The sequence below is a fragment of the Homo sapiens genome, chromosome 12 (assembly GCF_000001405.40).
Source record: "Homo sapiens chromosome 12, GRCh38.p14 Primary Assembly".
In the NCBI taxonomy this organism is placed as follows: domain Eukaryota; kingdom Metazoa; phylum Chordata; class Mammalia; order Primates; family Hominidae; genus Homo; species Homo sapiens.
The window spans coordinates 101,121,085-101,137,325 of record NC_000012.12 but is presented as its reverse complement, the minus strand read 5'-3'; the positions used below and the strand labels follow the sequence as shown (position 1 = coordinate 101,137,325).

Genomic DNA, 16,241 nt, shown 5'->3' with positions numbered 1-16,241 from the left:
CAAATTAGATTTTGCTGTGTCCTAGTTGTTTCAATGGCCTTCAAACAATTTTACATTATCATCTCAGGTTAGGGCTTTTCTCTTAGGTTCGTAATATAAATTTGCATCCTAGACCCATGGCACAAAACTTAAGCACAGGGCTTAAATTTTGATGCCTCAAGTAACTTTTGTTTGTTTTCCATCCAAAGAGTTGGCTAGAAGCAAACTTTCTTAATATTTAATTAAGGCTTTTGGTATGCTTTTAAAAATCCCCTTTTAAGTGATCAGGCAGTTCTTTAAGATATCAGGCTTTTGATGATACCTGGAATCAAGTTCTAGCTTCTTTACATTCTGTAGGCAGAAACCTCATTTTTCCTCCCATGAAAACATAAGAACTCAGCAGATCTACACCTGCACTTATTCCTCAACATCTCCTGGCTTCATTTCTTTGCTTTGATTTCCTTTTCAATTCTGGGATTGGAGCTTTTCTTTTATTCTTATAAATTTGACTATGCATTAAAATGTTTATTTTGTGACATTTTACCCAGAATTTCAATGGTTTTGTAGCAGCCAGGAAAGTCTAGCTCTCTGTTATGATTCTTTTAACTTGTTCAGTCCTGGGTTGTGGAGGTATGAGGAGCTATCCATCACACATGGCAATTTCAAAGCAACATGCAAAATACAATAATATAAGCGGAACACATGAAAGCTGGAGGACAGTGAGAGATTTTTGGTTTTGCATAATAGCTTTACTGAGACATAATTAACATGCCATACAACTCACTCATTTATGTGCAACTCAATGGTTTTTGTATTTACAGAGTTGTACAATTATCACCACAATCTTAGAAAATTTTCATTACCCCCAGAAGAAACCCCATATCCATTTGTATTCAGTCTCCATTTTGTCCCATTCACTCCCTTTAGCCCTAGGCAACCACTAATCTACTTTCTGTCTCTGTAGATTTGTCTATTCTGAACACTTCATATACATAAAATTACATTCTATGTGGTCTTCTGTGATTGGCTCCTTTCATGTAGCATAATGTTTTCAAGGTTTATCTATGTAGCATGTATCAGTATTTCATTCATTTTTATGGCCTAATAAAATCATGCACCACATAATGACCTTTTGGTCAATGACAGACCTCACACTTGACAGTGGTCCCATAAGATTATAATGCAGTTGAAAAATTCCTATTGCCTAGTGACATCACAGCCGTTGTAATATCATACAGTCATAAAGCAACTCATTACCTTTTCTGTGTTTAGGTACACACATATTTACCATTGTGTTATAGTTGCCTACAGTATTCAGTATAGTAACATGCTATACACGTTTGTATCCTAGGGACAGCCGGCTATATAGCATATAGCCTAAGTGTGTAGTAGGCTATACCATCTAAGTTTGTGTAAGTACACTCTATGATGTTCACACAATGATAAAATTACTCAATGATTAAATTCTTAGAATGTATCCCAATTGTTAAGTGACATATGATTGTATTCCATTGTATGGCTATCCTATATTTTATTTATGCATGAATCAGTTGATGAACATTTGTGTTGTTTCCACTTATTGGTTATTAAGAAACATGTTGCTCTGAACATTTGTGTACAAGTTTCTATGCGAGCATATGTTTTCAGTTCTTTGGGAGATATATTTAGCAGTGGAATGGCTGGGTCATATGGTAATTCTATGCTTAACCATTTTGGGAACTGCCAGACTATTTTCCAAAGCAGCTGCACCATTTAACATTCCTATCAACAGTGTATGAGGGTTCCAATTTCTCCATATCCTGGACAACACTTATTATCTGTATATTTTATTTTGGCCATTCTAATGCATGTGAAGTGGTATCTCATTGTGACTTTGATTTGCATTTCCCTGATGGCTAATGATATTGACCATCTTGTCATGTTTATTGGCCATTTGTATATCTTCTTTGGAGACATGTCTAATCAAATCCTTTGCCCATTTTTAAATTGGCTTATTTGTTTTTGTTAATTATTGAGTTGTAAGAGTTCTCAGAAGTCTTATGTTTAAGACTTGCAATTAATATATTTAAGATATAATCCCCTTAGATACATAATTTGCAAGCCTTTTTTTCCCCATTCTTTGGGTTGGAGAGGTTTTTTTTTTAATTGAAGTTCTCTGAGTTACAGAGAAAAGTCACAGAAGTAAAATATAATGGGACTTTTGAAGTACAGAAATATAAAGCCTCCTATTCATCCATTTAAGTCGCAGTAGAAACATGACATTTTAGTAAATAAGACATACAAAATACAGTGCAATTTATAACAGGACCAGTTGTGGAAGTGGACAGAGAAAAAAAGGAAACAGATGAGAGAGGTGGAAAGTTAAGAGGAGAGATAAATGCATAGTTCTGCCTTTTTGCTCAAACCAAGGATGGCATCATTATATAACACTGGGTGGAAGCCAGGATACCCAGGAAGAGCAAGACTGAAAATAAATGGTAGGAGAGATTCAAGGAATGCCTTGCTTTATATGCCTTTGGAGAGGCAAGGGTCTGGCCCAATGAGGTGGAAAGGGAGTCTACAAGGGAAGTGATCAACCAGAGAAGAGTGTGAGAGGGTTCAGAGGAAAGTATAGTGGTGGGATATTCGGAGCATTAACCAATGATCCAAAGTCTAGCCTCTTATGTTGACAATAATAAAACAGCTTGGGTGGTAGGAGCTAGGTTTCCCAACCCCAAACTGGAAATGGATTTCCTGTGCTGGGAAAGTTGGAGGGAACAGGTGAGCACCAATGTATTATCAAGTCTCTGAGGCCTATATCCCCATTGGTTCTTTGTGTCCTAACACCATATGCTGAGCTCTGGGATGGTGGCAGCAAACCACCATCGATTTGTGGAATTTAAAAGCTGACAAAATCTGTTCCCCATCTTTTGGATAGAGCTTACAGTCACAAGACCCCAGGAAAGACACAGCTGAGTGGTGTTTCTAAGCAAACATAGGGCTTTGGAAAGTTAGAGAGACTTTACCATGTTTGGTGAGCATTAAAAGAAGAAATTGCTGCCTGAAGTATCCAGGGGAATAGGTCTCTAAACAGCCTCACAATTTTCCACCACCCATGGTAGTGGAAAAACAGTATAATGACTTTCAAGCTCCCAAGGGCAGCATGGAGGTAGGGAAGGAAACCTGCATGGCAGTAAAGCTCAATCAGGCTGAGACATGCTTAGGAAATCAAGAATCTGTGGTTGCAGAATAGAACATGAATATTATAAACTGAGGCAATTTTAAAAAGGCGGATGGGGAGTGGTGATGAGAGGAAGAGACACTATTCTTTTATTCTCTTTTTATATCAAATAGTCAATCAATACTGTACCTAATGATTGATTTCAACCTTAATGCTCTTCCTAATTGTTTCCCTTCAAGTTAGACACCTGTGTTCACTGCTGTATTCTTAGCATCCAGAACAGAACTGGCTGGCTCAATAAATATTTAATGAATGAACGAATCCATAGGATTCCCACATCTTAGAGTTTTTGTCCACTTTTTTAAAAAAATTAATGTTGCAGGCTTGATTCCCTGGGAAGCAGACTCTAATAGGGAGGGTAGTGTGCTTAGCATTTATTTAGGATCAATATCTATGGAAGAAAGAAGAAGGAAGCAGGTTTGGGTAGAGGTGGAGGTTGAGCTACAATGCAGGTTCAAGCAGAGTCTCCCCACAGAGAGCACTGAAGTGAGGGAGCCCTTCACAGTTGTCCTAATATTGCCAGGCTTTCGTATTCATGCATCGATTAGTCATTGACATGGGCTGCCACAGAAAGGGGCAGGTCTTGGATCAGGTGACCCTCTGCAATGAAACAGTCTTGAGGAGCCTGACAGCTGGAGGGAGTCTACCAACAGCACTCCCAAAAGCTTGGGCAAGACATCTTTCATTGAAGAGGGACCTTGGCAGCATACCATGGTGTCCACCCCATGAAGCAACTATATCTTAGAAAACTTAAGTCCTTTGTCTTACACCTTGGATCCAAACTTAGTTTTGTCTGACTCCAGAGCCCATAATCAGAATAGAGTTTCTCTATTGTACATGGTGATGTAAACTCAGTCCTAAACTGGCGAGGGTGCTGGTTGGACTTGGGAAGAGTTATTCTCAGTGTTCTGGGTTAATGCAAAATGCAGGCCAAGGTGAAGGACCTTTGTGTGGCACTGACCCAATCCATCAAGATGAGTTCATGTCCTTTGTAGGGACACGGATGAAGCTGGAAACCATCATTCTGAGCAAACTATCGCAAGGACAAAAAACCAAACACCGCATATTCTCACTCATAGGTGGGAATTGAACAATGAGAACACATGGACACAGGAAGGGGAACATCTCACACTGGGGCCTGTTGTGGGGTGGGGGAAGGGGGGAGGGATAGCATTTGGAGATATACCTAATGTTAAATGATGAGTTACTGGGTGCAGCACACCAATATGGCACATGTATACATATGTAACTAACCTGCACGTTGTGCACCTGTACCCTAAAACTTAAAGTATAATAAAACAAAACAAAACAAAAGAAACACCCTATGCTCCACTCAGCTGGGAGGCCTGCACAGCAGTGATCTGTATTGAATGATATGATTAACTGATAATTGCTACTGTAACTAAGATTACAGTTTGACATTGCTGCCCACCTGCCTTTCTACCAGGGTGGTAGTTCACTAAAATATTATACAATCAGATAAAATGAATTAAACTCAGCTTGAATTGTAGAGTATATTAAAGTGATTCAAATTATGGCCATAAGATATTGATTAGATCAGTAGTTTGCAGAATGTGGCCCCCACCCAATAGAAACAACATCATCTAGGTACTTTATCAAAATTGAAATTTCCTGGTCCACCATATACTTACTGAATCAGAAACGGTGGTGGTGGTAGGGCCCAGGTGATTCTAATGTATGGTAGAGTTTGAGGAATACTGGACTACATGAAAATTAGTAGGAAAAAATAAAAATTGGGTTTATAATTAGCAAATAAATGTTAAATAAATGATTCTTTTAAAAACTATTTGTAAAATGACTACTCAAGTCAAGAAATAGTACATTGCCAGCACCTTGGATGCCTGTTTATCCCTTCTCACTCACACCCCAAAGCAAACACTTCGTTTTATTTTATGCTTTTAATATCTAGGAATACATCCCTGAGTACAAGTTTTTGAAGTTTGTGTTAATAAGCAAAATAGTAATAAATATTAAAAAATGATTGAGGCCACACGCAGTGGCTCACACCTGCAATCCCAGCACTTTGGGAGGCAGAGACGGGCATATCACCTGAGGTCAGGACTTCGAGACCAGCCTGGCCAACATGATGAAACCCCGTCTCTACTTAAAATACAAAAAAACTAGCCAGGCTTGGTGGCAGGTGCCTGTACTCCCAGCTACTCGGGAGGCTGAGGCAAAAGAATCGCTTGAACCTGGGAGGCGGAGGTTGCAGTGAGCCGAGATCAATCGCGCCACTGCACTCCAGCCTGGCCAACAAGAGCAAAACTCCATCACACACACACACACACACACACACACACACACACACACACACACACACACGATTGGACTATTTCCTTTACTTTGTTCATAGAACTTGTTTTACATAACGGACCTCAGGCTATCCAAATGATCACAACTTCCTAATTAGGAAGGTCTGAATTAATGAAGGTTCAAGATTGCCTCCTTGGGGGCTAATGTGTATGCAAGCTGCGACCCACTGGTAACAGCTTTACTATTTACTCTTCCCTGCCAGGGGATTAGTGGAATCTAAATTGAACAGTTAGGTATTTAAAACCACTCATGTGGTTTTAACCACTAAAAGGGTTGTTAAGCAAGTCTTCTTTAATTTTTTTTTTTGTTGAAAATATTATAAAATTGGTGTCTAAATGCTGACAGTCAATGGGCAACTTGGGAAATTACTCAATGTCTGTTTTGGGAAAACAGTAACTGGCACTTACATATCACATGTGATCTGAGTAGCGTTAACTCCTTCTCTAGAGTACAGGATTGTATGAAGTTGAGGTCCTACCCTTAATTCTTTCACGTTGAAATATATAGTTACAGGAAAGTGAGTTTAAATTGATTGCATGTTACTGTCTCCCTTTTAGAGTCATTTATTTTAAGAAGCACTGAAAGGCCGGGCGCGGTGGCTCACGCCTGTAATCCCAGCACTTTGGGAGGCCAAGACGGGTGGATCAGGAGGTCAGGAGATCGAGATCATCCTGGCTAACACGGTGAAACCTCGTCTCTACTAAAAATACAAAAAATTAGCCGGGCGTGGTGGCAGGCGCCTGTAGTCCCAGCTACTCGGGAGGCTGAGGCAGGAGAATGGTGTCAACCCGGGAGGCGGAGCTTGCAGTGAGCTGAGATCGCGCCACTGCACTCCAACCTGGGCGACAGAGCAAGACTCCGTCTCAAAAAAAAAAAAAAAAAAAGCACTGAAAAAACTTGCGTAAAGGCATCACACTCTGTTGGGCAATGGGGAAGGGGAAGGTGGGTTTCTCGCCCTCTGTCACTGATATGGTTTGGTTGTGTCCCCACCCAAATCTCACCCTGAATTGTGATAATCCCCACGTGTCAAGGGCACGGCCAGGTGGAGATAACTGAATCATGGGGGCGGTTTCCCCCGTATTGTTCTCATGGTAGTGAATTAGTCTCACGAAATCTAATGGTTTTATAAAGGGCAGTTCCCCTGCACAAGCTCTCTTGCCTGTCATCATGTAAGATGTGACTTTGCTCCTCATTTGCCTTCTGCCATGATCATGAGGCCTCCCCAGCCATGTGGACCTGTGAGTCAATTAAACCTCTTTCCTTTATAAATTACCCAGTTTCGGGTATGTCTTTATTAGCAGCATGAGAACAGACTAATACAGTCATTTACAAGCTATCTGGGGCTATAAGAAGGATATGCATGTCCTAGGTGAGGAATACTGCACAGGGGAAAGAGTCTGAGTGAGTAGGGCAGATTGTGCAATGTGAGGCTTTAGGGGATCCCAGGGGACAAGACTTGGGAGACACATTTGTAGAAAGGTTGGAGTTTTACAGTGATGCCACTGAATTATCAATGGAAGGATATGATTTCCTTCGTACAAGAAATCTGGAAAGTATATGGCATTTATAGACAGGTTTCCACTTCAAAAAATCAAGCAGCATATTATTTTGCCAGTTTAAAAGTTAACCCTGCTTGCTTTTTGTTTTGTCTTGTTTTGTTTTGAGACAGTCTCACTCTGTCACCCATGCAGGAGTACAATGGCGCGATCTCGGCTCACTGCAACCTCCAACTCCTGGGTTCAAGTGATTCTCCTGCCTCAGCCTCCCAAGTAGCTGAGACTACAGGTACCTGCCACCACACCTGGCTAATTTTTGTATTTTTAGTAGAGGCAGGGTTTCACCATGTTGGGCAGGCCAGTCTCGAACTCCTGACCTCAAATCACCCACCTTGGCCTCCCAAAGTGCTGGGATTACAGGCATGAGCCACCAAGCCCAGCCTGGTTGCTAACTATTTGGATAACTGTTTGGAATCACTACATTCCTGAGTGAGTGATTCAGACAACAGAGGTTTTTTAAAAAAACTTTAAAAAAATTTTTATCTTAATAGTTTTTTTGGGTACAGGTGGTTTTTGGTTACATAGGTAAGTTCATTAATGGTGATTTCTGAGATTCTGGTGCACCTGTTACCCACACAGTGTATACTGTGCCCAATATGCAGTCTTTTTTCACTCACCCTCCTTCCACCGTTTCCCCTGGAGTCTGCAAAGTCCATTATATTATTCTTATACCTTTGCATCCTCATAGCTTAGCTCCCACTTATAAGTGAGACCATATGATATTTGGTTTTCCATTCCTGAGTTACTTCACTTACTTACAATAATGGCCTCCAGCTCCAACCAAATTGCTGCAAAAGACATTACTTTGTTCCTGTTTATGGCTAAGTAGTATTCCATGGTATATATACTATTTTCTTTCTTTTTCTTTTTTTTTTTTTTTTTTGAGACAGAGTCTCGCTCTGTTGCCCAGGCTGGAGTGCAGCAGCGCGATCTCCGCTCACTGCAAGCTCCACCACCCGGGTTCATGCCATTCTCCTGACTCAGCCTCCCTAGTAGCTGGGACTACAGGCACCCACCACCACGCCCAGCTAATTTTTTTGTATTTTTAGTAGAGACAGGGTTTCACCGTGTTAGCCAGGATCGTCTCAATCTCCTGACTTCGTGATCCACCCGCCTCGGCCTCCCAAAGTGCTGGAATTATAGGCGTGAGCCACCGTGCCCGGCTATATACTACATTTTCTTTATCCACTCCTTGGTTGATGGGCACTTAGGTTGGTTCTGTATTTTTGCAATTGTTAATTGCAGACAACTGAGGTTTTAATGAAGATTATAGTGTTGAAGTAGGATATTTCTAATATTCTAGTCTTATGAGGACTTATAAAATTGGGTAGATTATCAAATCCTCAAATTACGGCATATTCATTTTGGCTTATATTTAAAATATTCCACCATCAAGACTGGGGAAAAAAGTTCATCAGAAACATACGCTGATATTTGGCTATATTGTTTGTTTTTGCATGCATTTATGCAATAAACAAACATCTGATTTCTTGCACAGTCCCTCAGATATTCTCCTCACATTAAAGATTCCACTTACTTATTCTGTGATTTCTCTTATTCTATGAGACAAAAATACAACAGAATGTCAGAAGAGCCAGCTGAAAATATTCCATGTGCAGAAATTTATTTTAAATTTTATTGCATCACATTATACAAGCATTAATCATGGCTTCATATTGATGACTATTTAAATGTGAAAATTCACTCATGTCAGTACTTTTTGGCTATTTACAAGTAAGGAATTTCTATGTACTTTATATATCTCTGTATTTGTATGTACATATGCAGGAATACATGACTATACATATGTACACACAGAAATACATCTATGGCCATACACATAGCTATAGATATGTCATATATAATAATCTTCTCAGAAAGGTCTAAAATTAAAAAAAAGGAAAGAAAAAGTTGTAAACAGGGTCTTGTCTGTGTTGTTGGTGACATGGAATTAGGACCATATGATGACATTCTAGGAATGTGTGTCCATGTGTCTGAATACCCTTTTTAGCCCAGTGTCTGTAAAATTCACATGGGATAGAATGCAAAAAAGGTAGCAAACAGGCTGAAAAACAGGCCCAGTATACAAGTTCCCCTTGATTTTAAAAACTTGAGAATGTAACTGCCCATAATGTGCATGCTTGCTTGGTCAAGAATGGTCTATGGATAGATAGCAATTGTGCGCTGGACTGCAACGTGATTTCACAGCAGTGTGACTCCAACGCCAGTCCTCTACTGGATGCTGCCCCTCCTGCGGCCGCCGGTATCTGCAACATGCACTGTGGTTGCATTTTTAGTCATTCACTTGAGTGTGCTTTTGCACAGCCAGAAGAAGTAAACAGAATTCAGGTCCTTGGCCTGGAAAGGGACTATTTTCTGGAAAGAGAAAAGAAGGCATAAAGATCTTATGCATACACAATTGCTTTAAAACATGAGGTGCAATAGTTTGTACTTACCATGCACCAAAGGCATTCAAAGAATTTGTAACCCCAAATGGAGTCAGGGATGGTATAAACATTTTTATGCTTGCTTTATGGGTGAACAGACTGAGTCAGAAGGGCAGTCTAAAGCAACATCACATCCTGCCAACTATTGGGGAAATAGAAACAGGCAGGCAGATACTATGCTTTCAAGCAAAAATTAGAAATGGCCTTTTTGGGAAGAAAGCAGCCAGTAGTGGTGGGGCCAGAAGAAATTCTTCATCAGTTACTGGTCCTGCAGCCCAGGACAGCCCTGTTGCACCTTGGTCTCTGGCCGCTGAGGCTTTCAGGAAGAATTCTCTTTGCTAATGTCTGCCTCCCACCCACCTAGAAAGAAGGGGCATGTTTCCCTGGGGATATTAAAGAAAACAGCCCGGCTGGAGGAAAAGAGAGAGGACGCTTTGTTTCAGGGAACTCCTAGGCCAATTCATGAAGACCTTGACTGATAGGCCAGAGTCTGGCAAGAAGGCAGAGAAGTGTTGCAGAAGGTATGTGGGAGGGGAAGATCAAGCAAAATTTGCAACGATTAAAGTAAAAAACAAGCTTCTTTTGGATTGGGAAGCTTCTAAGGAGTTTATTTTGATCCCTGTTACTGCAACAATGGTAAGCTTTGCTTCAGGGAGTTTAAAGCACCCATTCAACCTCGGAATGGCCTCAGACGCTGAGCACACCTCTCACCTACATGGTCACGGCCACTCGTTGTGGTGTGCTTTTCCATTCTTCTTCCTCTCCTTTCGTTCCTTCTGGAGACGTTCCAGTTCTGCTTCATACATCATCTCCTGAATCAAGTACTTCTCTCTTCTCATTCGATCCCTTAGGTCTTTTGGGAGGTCTGGGATCAGATATGAAATGAGGTGCTTTATACAAAACACGAGGTGCTAAAACAGAGGAGAATGTAACAGCGTCAGGTCTACTGTGCATCCTGAATGAGGTTAGAGAGTTGGCTGAAGAAGGATGTGGACCCTCTGGGGTATGTGGAGAGTGCAAAGTGACCAGGGGAGGCGTGTGTAATGCAAGATGATAGGACAGGTGAGGCCTGAACTGGTCTGATGGCACCACCTAAGGAATAGAAAGAGGAGTCTGGAAGGAAGGTGGGAAAAGAATGGTCAGATAATTAATTCAAAGGAGAGCCAGAAGAATGTATTCTGTGGAGTCAGAAAACCCAGGTTGAAGCTGGTAGCTTTCACTGCTTAAGGGCTGTCTGTCTACCTGAGGATGAATTATTTAATTTATCTGAGCCTCATTCCCCTCATCTATAAAGTGAGTATTGTGAGAATTATGAGAAAATGTTTAAAAATGCCTTGTAGACTGTCAAGTGCTTTACAAATCTTGGTTATAAGAATTATCAGTGGGCCTAGGGAAATGATCATTTCAGGAAGAAGCTTTTTTCTTTTTGGTAAACAGTCACAAATTCTTTACTTGAAATACTAATAGCTGGAATTCTAGAGTCACTGTCACTTCTGCTCATCTATATAATGGTGACCAAGGAAGTACTAGATGACAATTTAAGGGCTATTACAATTCTAAAGTATTAAATAGAGACTAAATCATGTTCAAATGATACTGCTAAGTATTCTTCGTTTTATTTAAAACTTGATAAATTTGGTGATGCATGGATGGCACAAAATTAAGAAGCTTTTCTGCATAGTTCTCATATTTTCAAATAGTTAATAACAAAATATTAAAAGAAAATGGAAAATTCTATTTGAAAAGCCAAATAAGGCAGCCTTTTAAAAAGTTTTGTCTGACAGATTTACAGCAGAATTCTACCAGAGGTACAATGAAGAGCTGATACCATTTCTATGGAAACTATTCCAAAAAATTAAAAAGGAGGGACTCCTCCTTAACTCATTTATGAGGCCAGTGTCATCCTGATACCAAAACCTGGCAGAGAGACAACAAAAAAACTTCAGGCCAATATCCCCGATGAACATTGATGCAAAAAGCCTCAATACAATACTGGCAAACCAAATCCAGCAGCACATCAAAAAGCTTATCTACCATGATCAAGTTGGCTTCATCCCTGGGATAAAAAGTTGGTTCAACATATGCAAATCAGTAAACATCACATAAGCATAAGTAATTCATCACATAAGCAGAACTAAAGACAAAAACCACATGATTATCTCAATAGCTGCAGAAAAGGTCTTTGATAACAATCCAACATCCCTTCATGTTAAAAATTCTCAATAAGCATTCCCCTTAAAAACCGGCACAAGACAAGGATGCCCTCTCTTACCACTCCTTTTCAACGCAGTATTGGAAGTTCTGGCCCAGGCAGTCAGGCAAGAGAAATAAATAAAGGGTATTCAAATAGGAAGAGAGGAAGTCAAATTATCTTTTTTTTGCAGATGACCTGATCCCGTGTCTAGAAAATCCCATCATCTTGGCCCAAAAGCTTCTTAAGCTGATAAGCAACTTCAGCAGAGTCTCAGGATACAAAATCAATGTGCAAAAATCATTAGTATTCCTAACCACTAACAACAGGCAAGCAGAAAGCCAAATCATGGATGAACTCCCATTCACAACTGCTGCAAAAGAATAAAATACCTAGGAATACAGCTAACAAGAAAAGTGAATGACTTCTTCAAGAACTACAGACCACTGCTCAAGGAAATCAGAAAGGACACAAGCAGATGGAAAAATGTTCCATGCTCATGGATAGAAAGAATCAATATTGTGAAAACGGCCATCTGCCCAAAGTAATTTATAGATTCAATGCTATTCCCATTAAACTACCATTGACACTCTTCACAGAATTAGAAGAAACTCTTTTAAAATTCATGTGGAACCAAAAAAGAGTCCAAATAGCCAAGACAAGACTAAGCAAAAAGAACAAAGCTGGAAGCATCACACTACCCAACTTCAAATTATACTAAAAGGCTACAGTAACCAAAACAGCATGGTACTAGTACAAAAACAGACACATAGACCAATGGAACAGATTAGAGATCTCAGATATAAGACCACACATCTACAACCATCTGATCTTTGAAAAACCTGACAAAAACAAGCAATGGGGGAAAGGATTCCCTACTTAATAAATGGTTTTGGGAGAACTGGCTAGCCATATGCAGAAAATCGAAACTGAACCCCTTCCTTACACCTTATATAAAAATTAACTCAAGATGGATTAAAGACTTAAATGTAAAGCCCCAAACTATAAAAATCCTAGAAGAAAATCTAGGCAATGCCATTCAGGATGTAGGCATGGGCAAAAATTTCATGATGAAAACACCAAAAGCAATTGCAACAAAAGAAAAAATTGACAAATGGGATCTAATTAAATGAAAGTACTTCTGCACAGCACAAAAAAACTATCATCAGAGCAAACAGTAACCTATAGAATGGGAGAACATTTTTGTAATCTATCCATCTAACAAAGGTCTGATATCCAGAGTCTACAAGGAACTTAAACACATCTACAAAAAAAATACCAAGCAACCCCATTAAAAAGTGGGCAAAAGACATAAACAGACATTCTTCAAAAGAAGACATTCATGCAGCCAACAAACATATGAAAAAAAGCTCAACATTATTGATAATTAAAGAACTGCAAATAAAAATCACAATGAGATACCATCTTACACCAGTCAGAATGTTGATTATTTAAAAGTCCAGAAACAACAGATGCTGGCAAGGTTTCAGAGAAAAAGGAACACTTTTACACTGTTGGTGGGAGTATAAATTAGTTCAACCATTGTGGAAGACAGTGTGGCAATTCCTCAGTGATTTACAAGCAGAAATACCATTTTACCCAGCAATTCTATAACTTGTATGGCAAAGGACACAAACAGATACCTCTCAAAAGAAGATATACAAGCAGCCAAAAATAATATGAAAAGATGCTCAGAATCTCTAAGGAGATTAGAGAAATGCAAATCAAAACCACAATGAAATATTATCTCATACCAGTCAGTATGGCGCTTATTAGAAAGGAATATAAATCATTCTATTATAAACATACATGCATGCATATGTTCATTGCAGCACTATTCACAATAGCAAAGGCATAGAATCAACCCAAATGCCCATCAATGATAGGCTGGATAAAAAAATGTGGTACATATACACCATGAAATACTATGCAACCATAAAAAGGGATGAGATAATGTCCTTTGCAGGGACATGGACAGAACTGGAAGCTGTTATCCTCAGCAAACTGACAAAGGAACAGAAAACCAAATACCACATGTTCTCACTTATAAGTGGGAGCTGAATGATGAGAACACATGGACACATGGTGGGAAACAACACACAAAGGGGCCTGTTGGGGGTGGGGGTGGGGGAAGGGAGAGCATCAGAAAGAATAGCTAAGGGATGCTGAGCTTAATACCTGGGTGACGGGTTGATCTGTGCAGCAGATGACCGTGGCACACATTTACCTGTGTAACAAACCTGTATGTCCTGCACATGTACCCTGGAACTTAAAATAAAAAAATCCCAAACAAACAACAAGAAGTTTTGTCTGAAAAATTTTAAGACAGTGATGGGTTAAAAATATCTTCTTTAAAGAGAGAGTGTGCCATTGGTAAGATAATTTCCAGGGAAGAGCAGCTTAATATTTTCTTCTTTTGGTTCCCTGGACTGAAGGAAAAAGCAGTGATAGAATAGTCTTGAAGAGGTCTAGGAAACTTTAGATCCAAGCCGAGAGGCAACCTTGGCTTTTATTAATCTGGCTTTAATATATGTGACAAGAGATGAAATTTCCACTTATGACTAGAGTCATAGAAATGCAAACTATTTTTACAGCAATTTTCTTAAACCCTGAAAGAAAATAGATAATATATTTTTATTGACATATAATATAGACAATTGCTAGACAGATTTTACTTTATAATTCCATTTTGAGTCTTAGCTAATAAATACTTACTTGGATGCTTGAATATAAATAATTCCGTGATGATACACAACCAGAAATACCACTTGTAATACCCAGTCCTATTGGAAAATGCTTATGATCATGTTGGGAAATCCTGATAACTATTTGAAAATCATAAATTAACTATATGAATCAGTATATTTCAATATGTGTGGTAATGATGATGGCAATAATTGGAGACATTTAGAAAGAGTGAATCTCCAACTTGACAAAAACAAGCAGTGGGGGAAGGATTCCTTGTTCAATAAATGGTGCTGAGATAACTGGCTATCCATATGCAGAAGAATGAAACTGGACTTCTACCTATCATCATAAACAAAATTTAACTCAAGATGAATTAAAGACTTACATGTAAGACCTCAACTATAAAAATGCTAGAAGAAAACCTAGGAAATACCCTTCTCAATACTGGCCTGGGCAAAGAATTTATGGTGAAGTCCTGAAAAGCAATTGCAACAAAAACAAAAATTGCTAAGTCAAATCTAATTAAAGAGCTTCTGCACAGCAAGAGAAACTGTCAAAGAAGTAAACAGACACCGTACAGAATGGGAGAAAATATTTGCAAACTATGCACCCAATAAAGGTCTAATACCCAGAATCTGTAAGGAACTTAAACAAATCAACATGTAAAAAACAAATAACCCCATTAAAAAGTGGTCAAAGGACACAAACAGATACTTCTCAAAAGAAGATATAGAAGCAGACAACAATAATATGAAAAAATGCTCAGAATCTCTAAGGAAATTAGAGAAATGCAAATCAAAACCACAATGAGACACCATCTCACACCAGTCAGTACGGCTTTTATTAGAAAGTCAGGCCAAGTGCAGTGGCTCACGCCTGTAATCCCAGCACTTTGGGAGGCCAAGGCGGATGGATCATGAGGTCAGGTTAAGACCAGCCTGGCCAAGACAGTGAAACCCCGTCTCCACTAAAAATACAAAAATTAGCCAGGTGTGGTAGCGGGTGCCTGTAATCCCACCTACTCAGGAGGCTGAGGCAGAGAATTACTTGAACCTGGGAGGCAGAGGTTGCAGTGAGCCGAGATTGTGCCATTGCACTCCAGCCTGGGCGACAGAGAGAGAATCAGTCTTAAAAAAAAAAAAAAAAAAAAAAAAAAAGTAAACAAATTAACAGATGCTGGCGAGGCTTCAGAGAAAAGGGGACACCTGCACACTGTTGGTGGAAAGGTAAATTAGTCCAACTACTGTGTAGTCTGGAGATTTCTCAAAGAACAAAGGGCTTAACTACCATTCAACCCAGCAATCCCATTTCTGGGTATATACTCAAAAGAAAATAAAGCATTCTACCAAAAAGACACATGTACTCATATGTCAATCACAGGACTATTCACAATAGCAAAGACATGGAATCAACCTGGGTGCCCATCAATGGTGGACCAGATAGAGAAAATGTGGTATGTATACACCATGGAATACTATGTGGCCATAAAAAAGAATGAAACCATGTCCTTTGCAGCAACATGGATGTAGCTGGAGGCCATTATCTTAAGTGAAATAATGTAGAAACTGAAAACTAAACACTGCAAGTTCTTATTGTACGTACTTAGAGTGGAAGCTAAACACTGGGTACACATGGACATAAAGATGAGAACAACAGACACTGGGGACTACTATAGAGGGGAGAGGGGGAGGGGACAAGGGCTGAATAACTACCTATTGAATACTATGCTCGCTACCTGGGTGGTGGGTTCAGTCGCACCCCAAACCTCAACATCATGCAATGTAACTTTGTAACAAACTTGCACATGTACCCACTGTATCTAAAAT

At 39.6% G+C, this 16,241-nt stretch overlaps 1 protein-coding gene across 16 annotated transcripts in view; it reads right to left on the bottom strand.

Annotated features, from left to right (window-relative positions):
• Window positions 1–8,684: 8,684 nt before the first annotated feature.
• The window catches only part of ANO4 (anoctamin 4), a 411,381-nt gene continuing 403,824 nt past the window's right edge, over window positions 8,685–16,241 (bottom strand). For 8 of the 16 annotated variants that reach the window (XM_011537911.3, XM_011537913.3, XM_011537915.3 and 5 more), the window contains 2 exons: window positions 10,252–10,447; window positions 8,685–9,465 (listed from right to left, as the gene is read on the bottom strand). In XM_011537911.3, the coding sequence (XP_011536213.2) occupies window positions 10,256–10,447 (192 nt within the window). In that variant the 3' untranslated portion in view covers window positions 8,685–9,465; window positions 10,252–10,255. Of the gene's footprint in view, window positions 9,466–10,247; window positions 10,448–16,241 lie in introns of all 16 variants that reach the window. The other 8 variants (XM_011537912.3, XM_047428302.1, XM_047428308.1 and 5 more) reach the window with 2 other exon arrangements.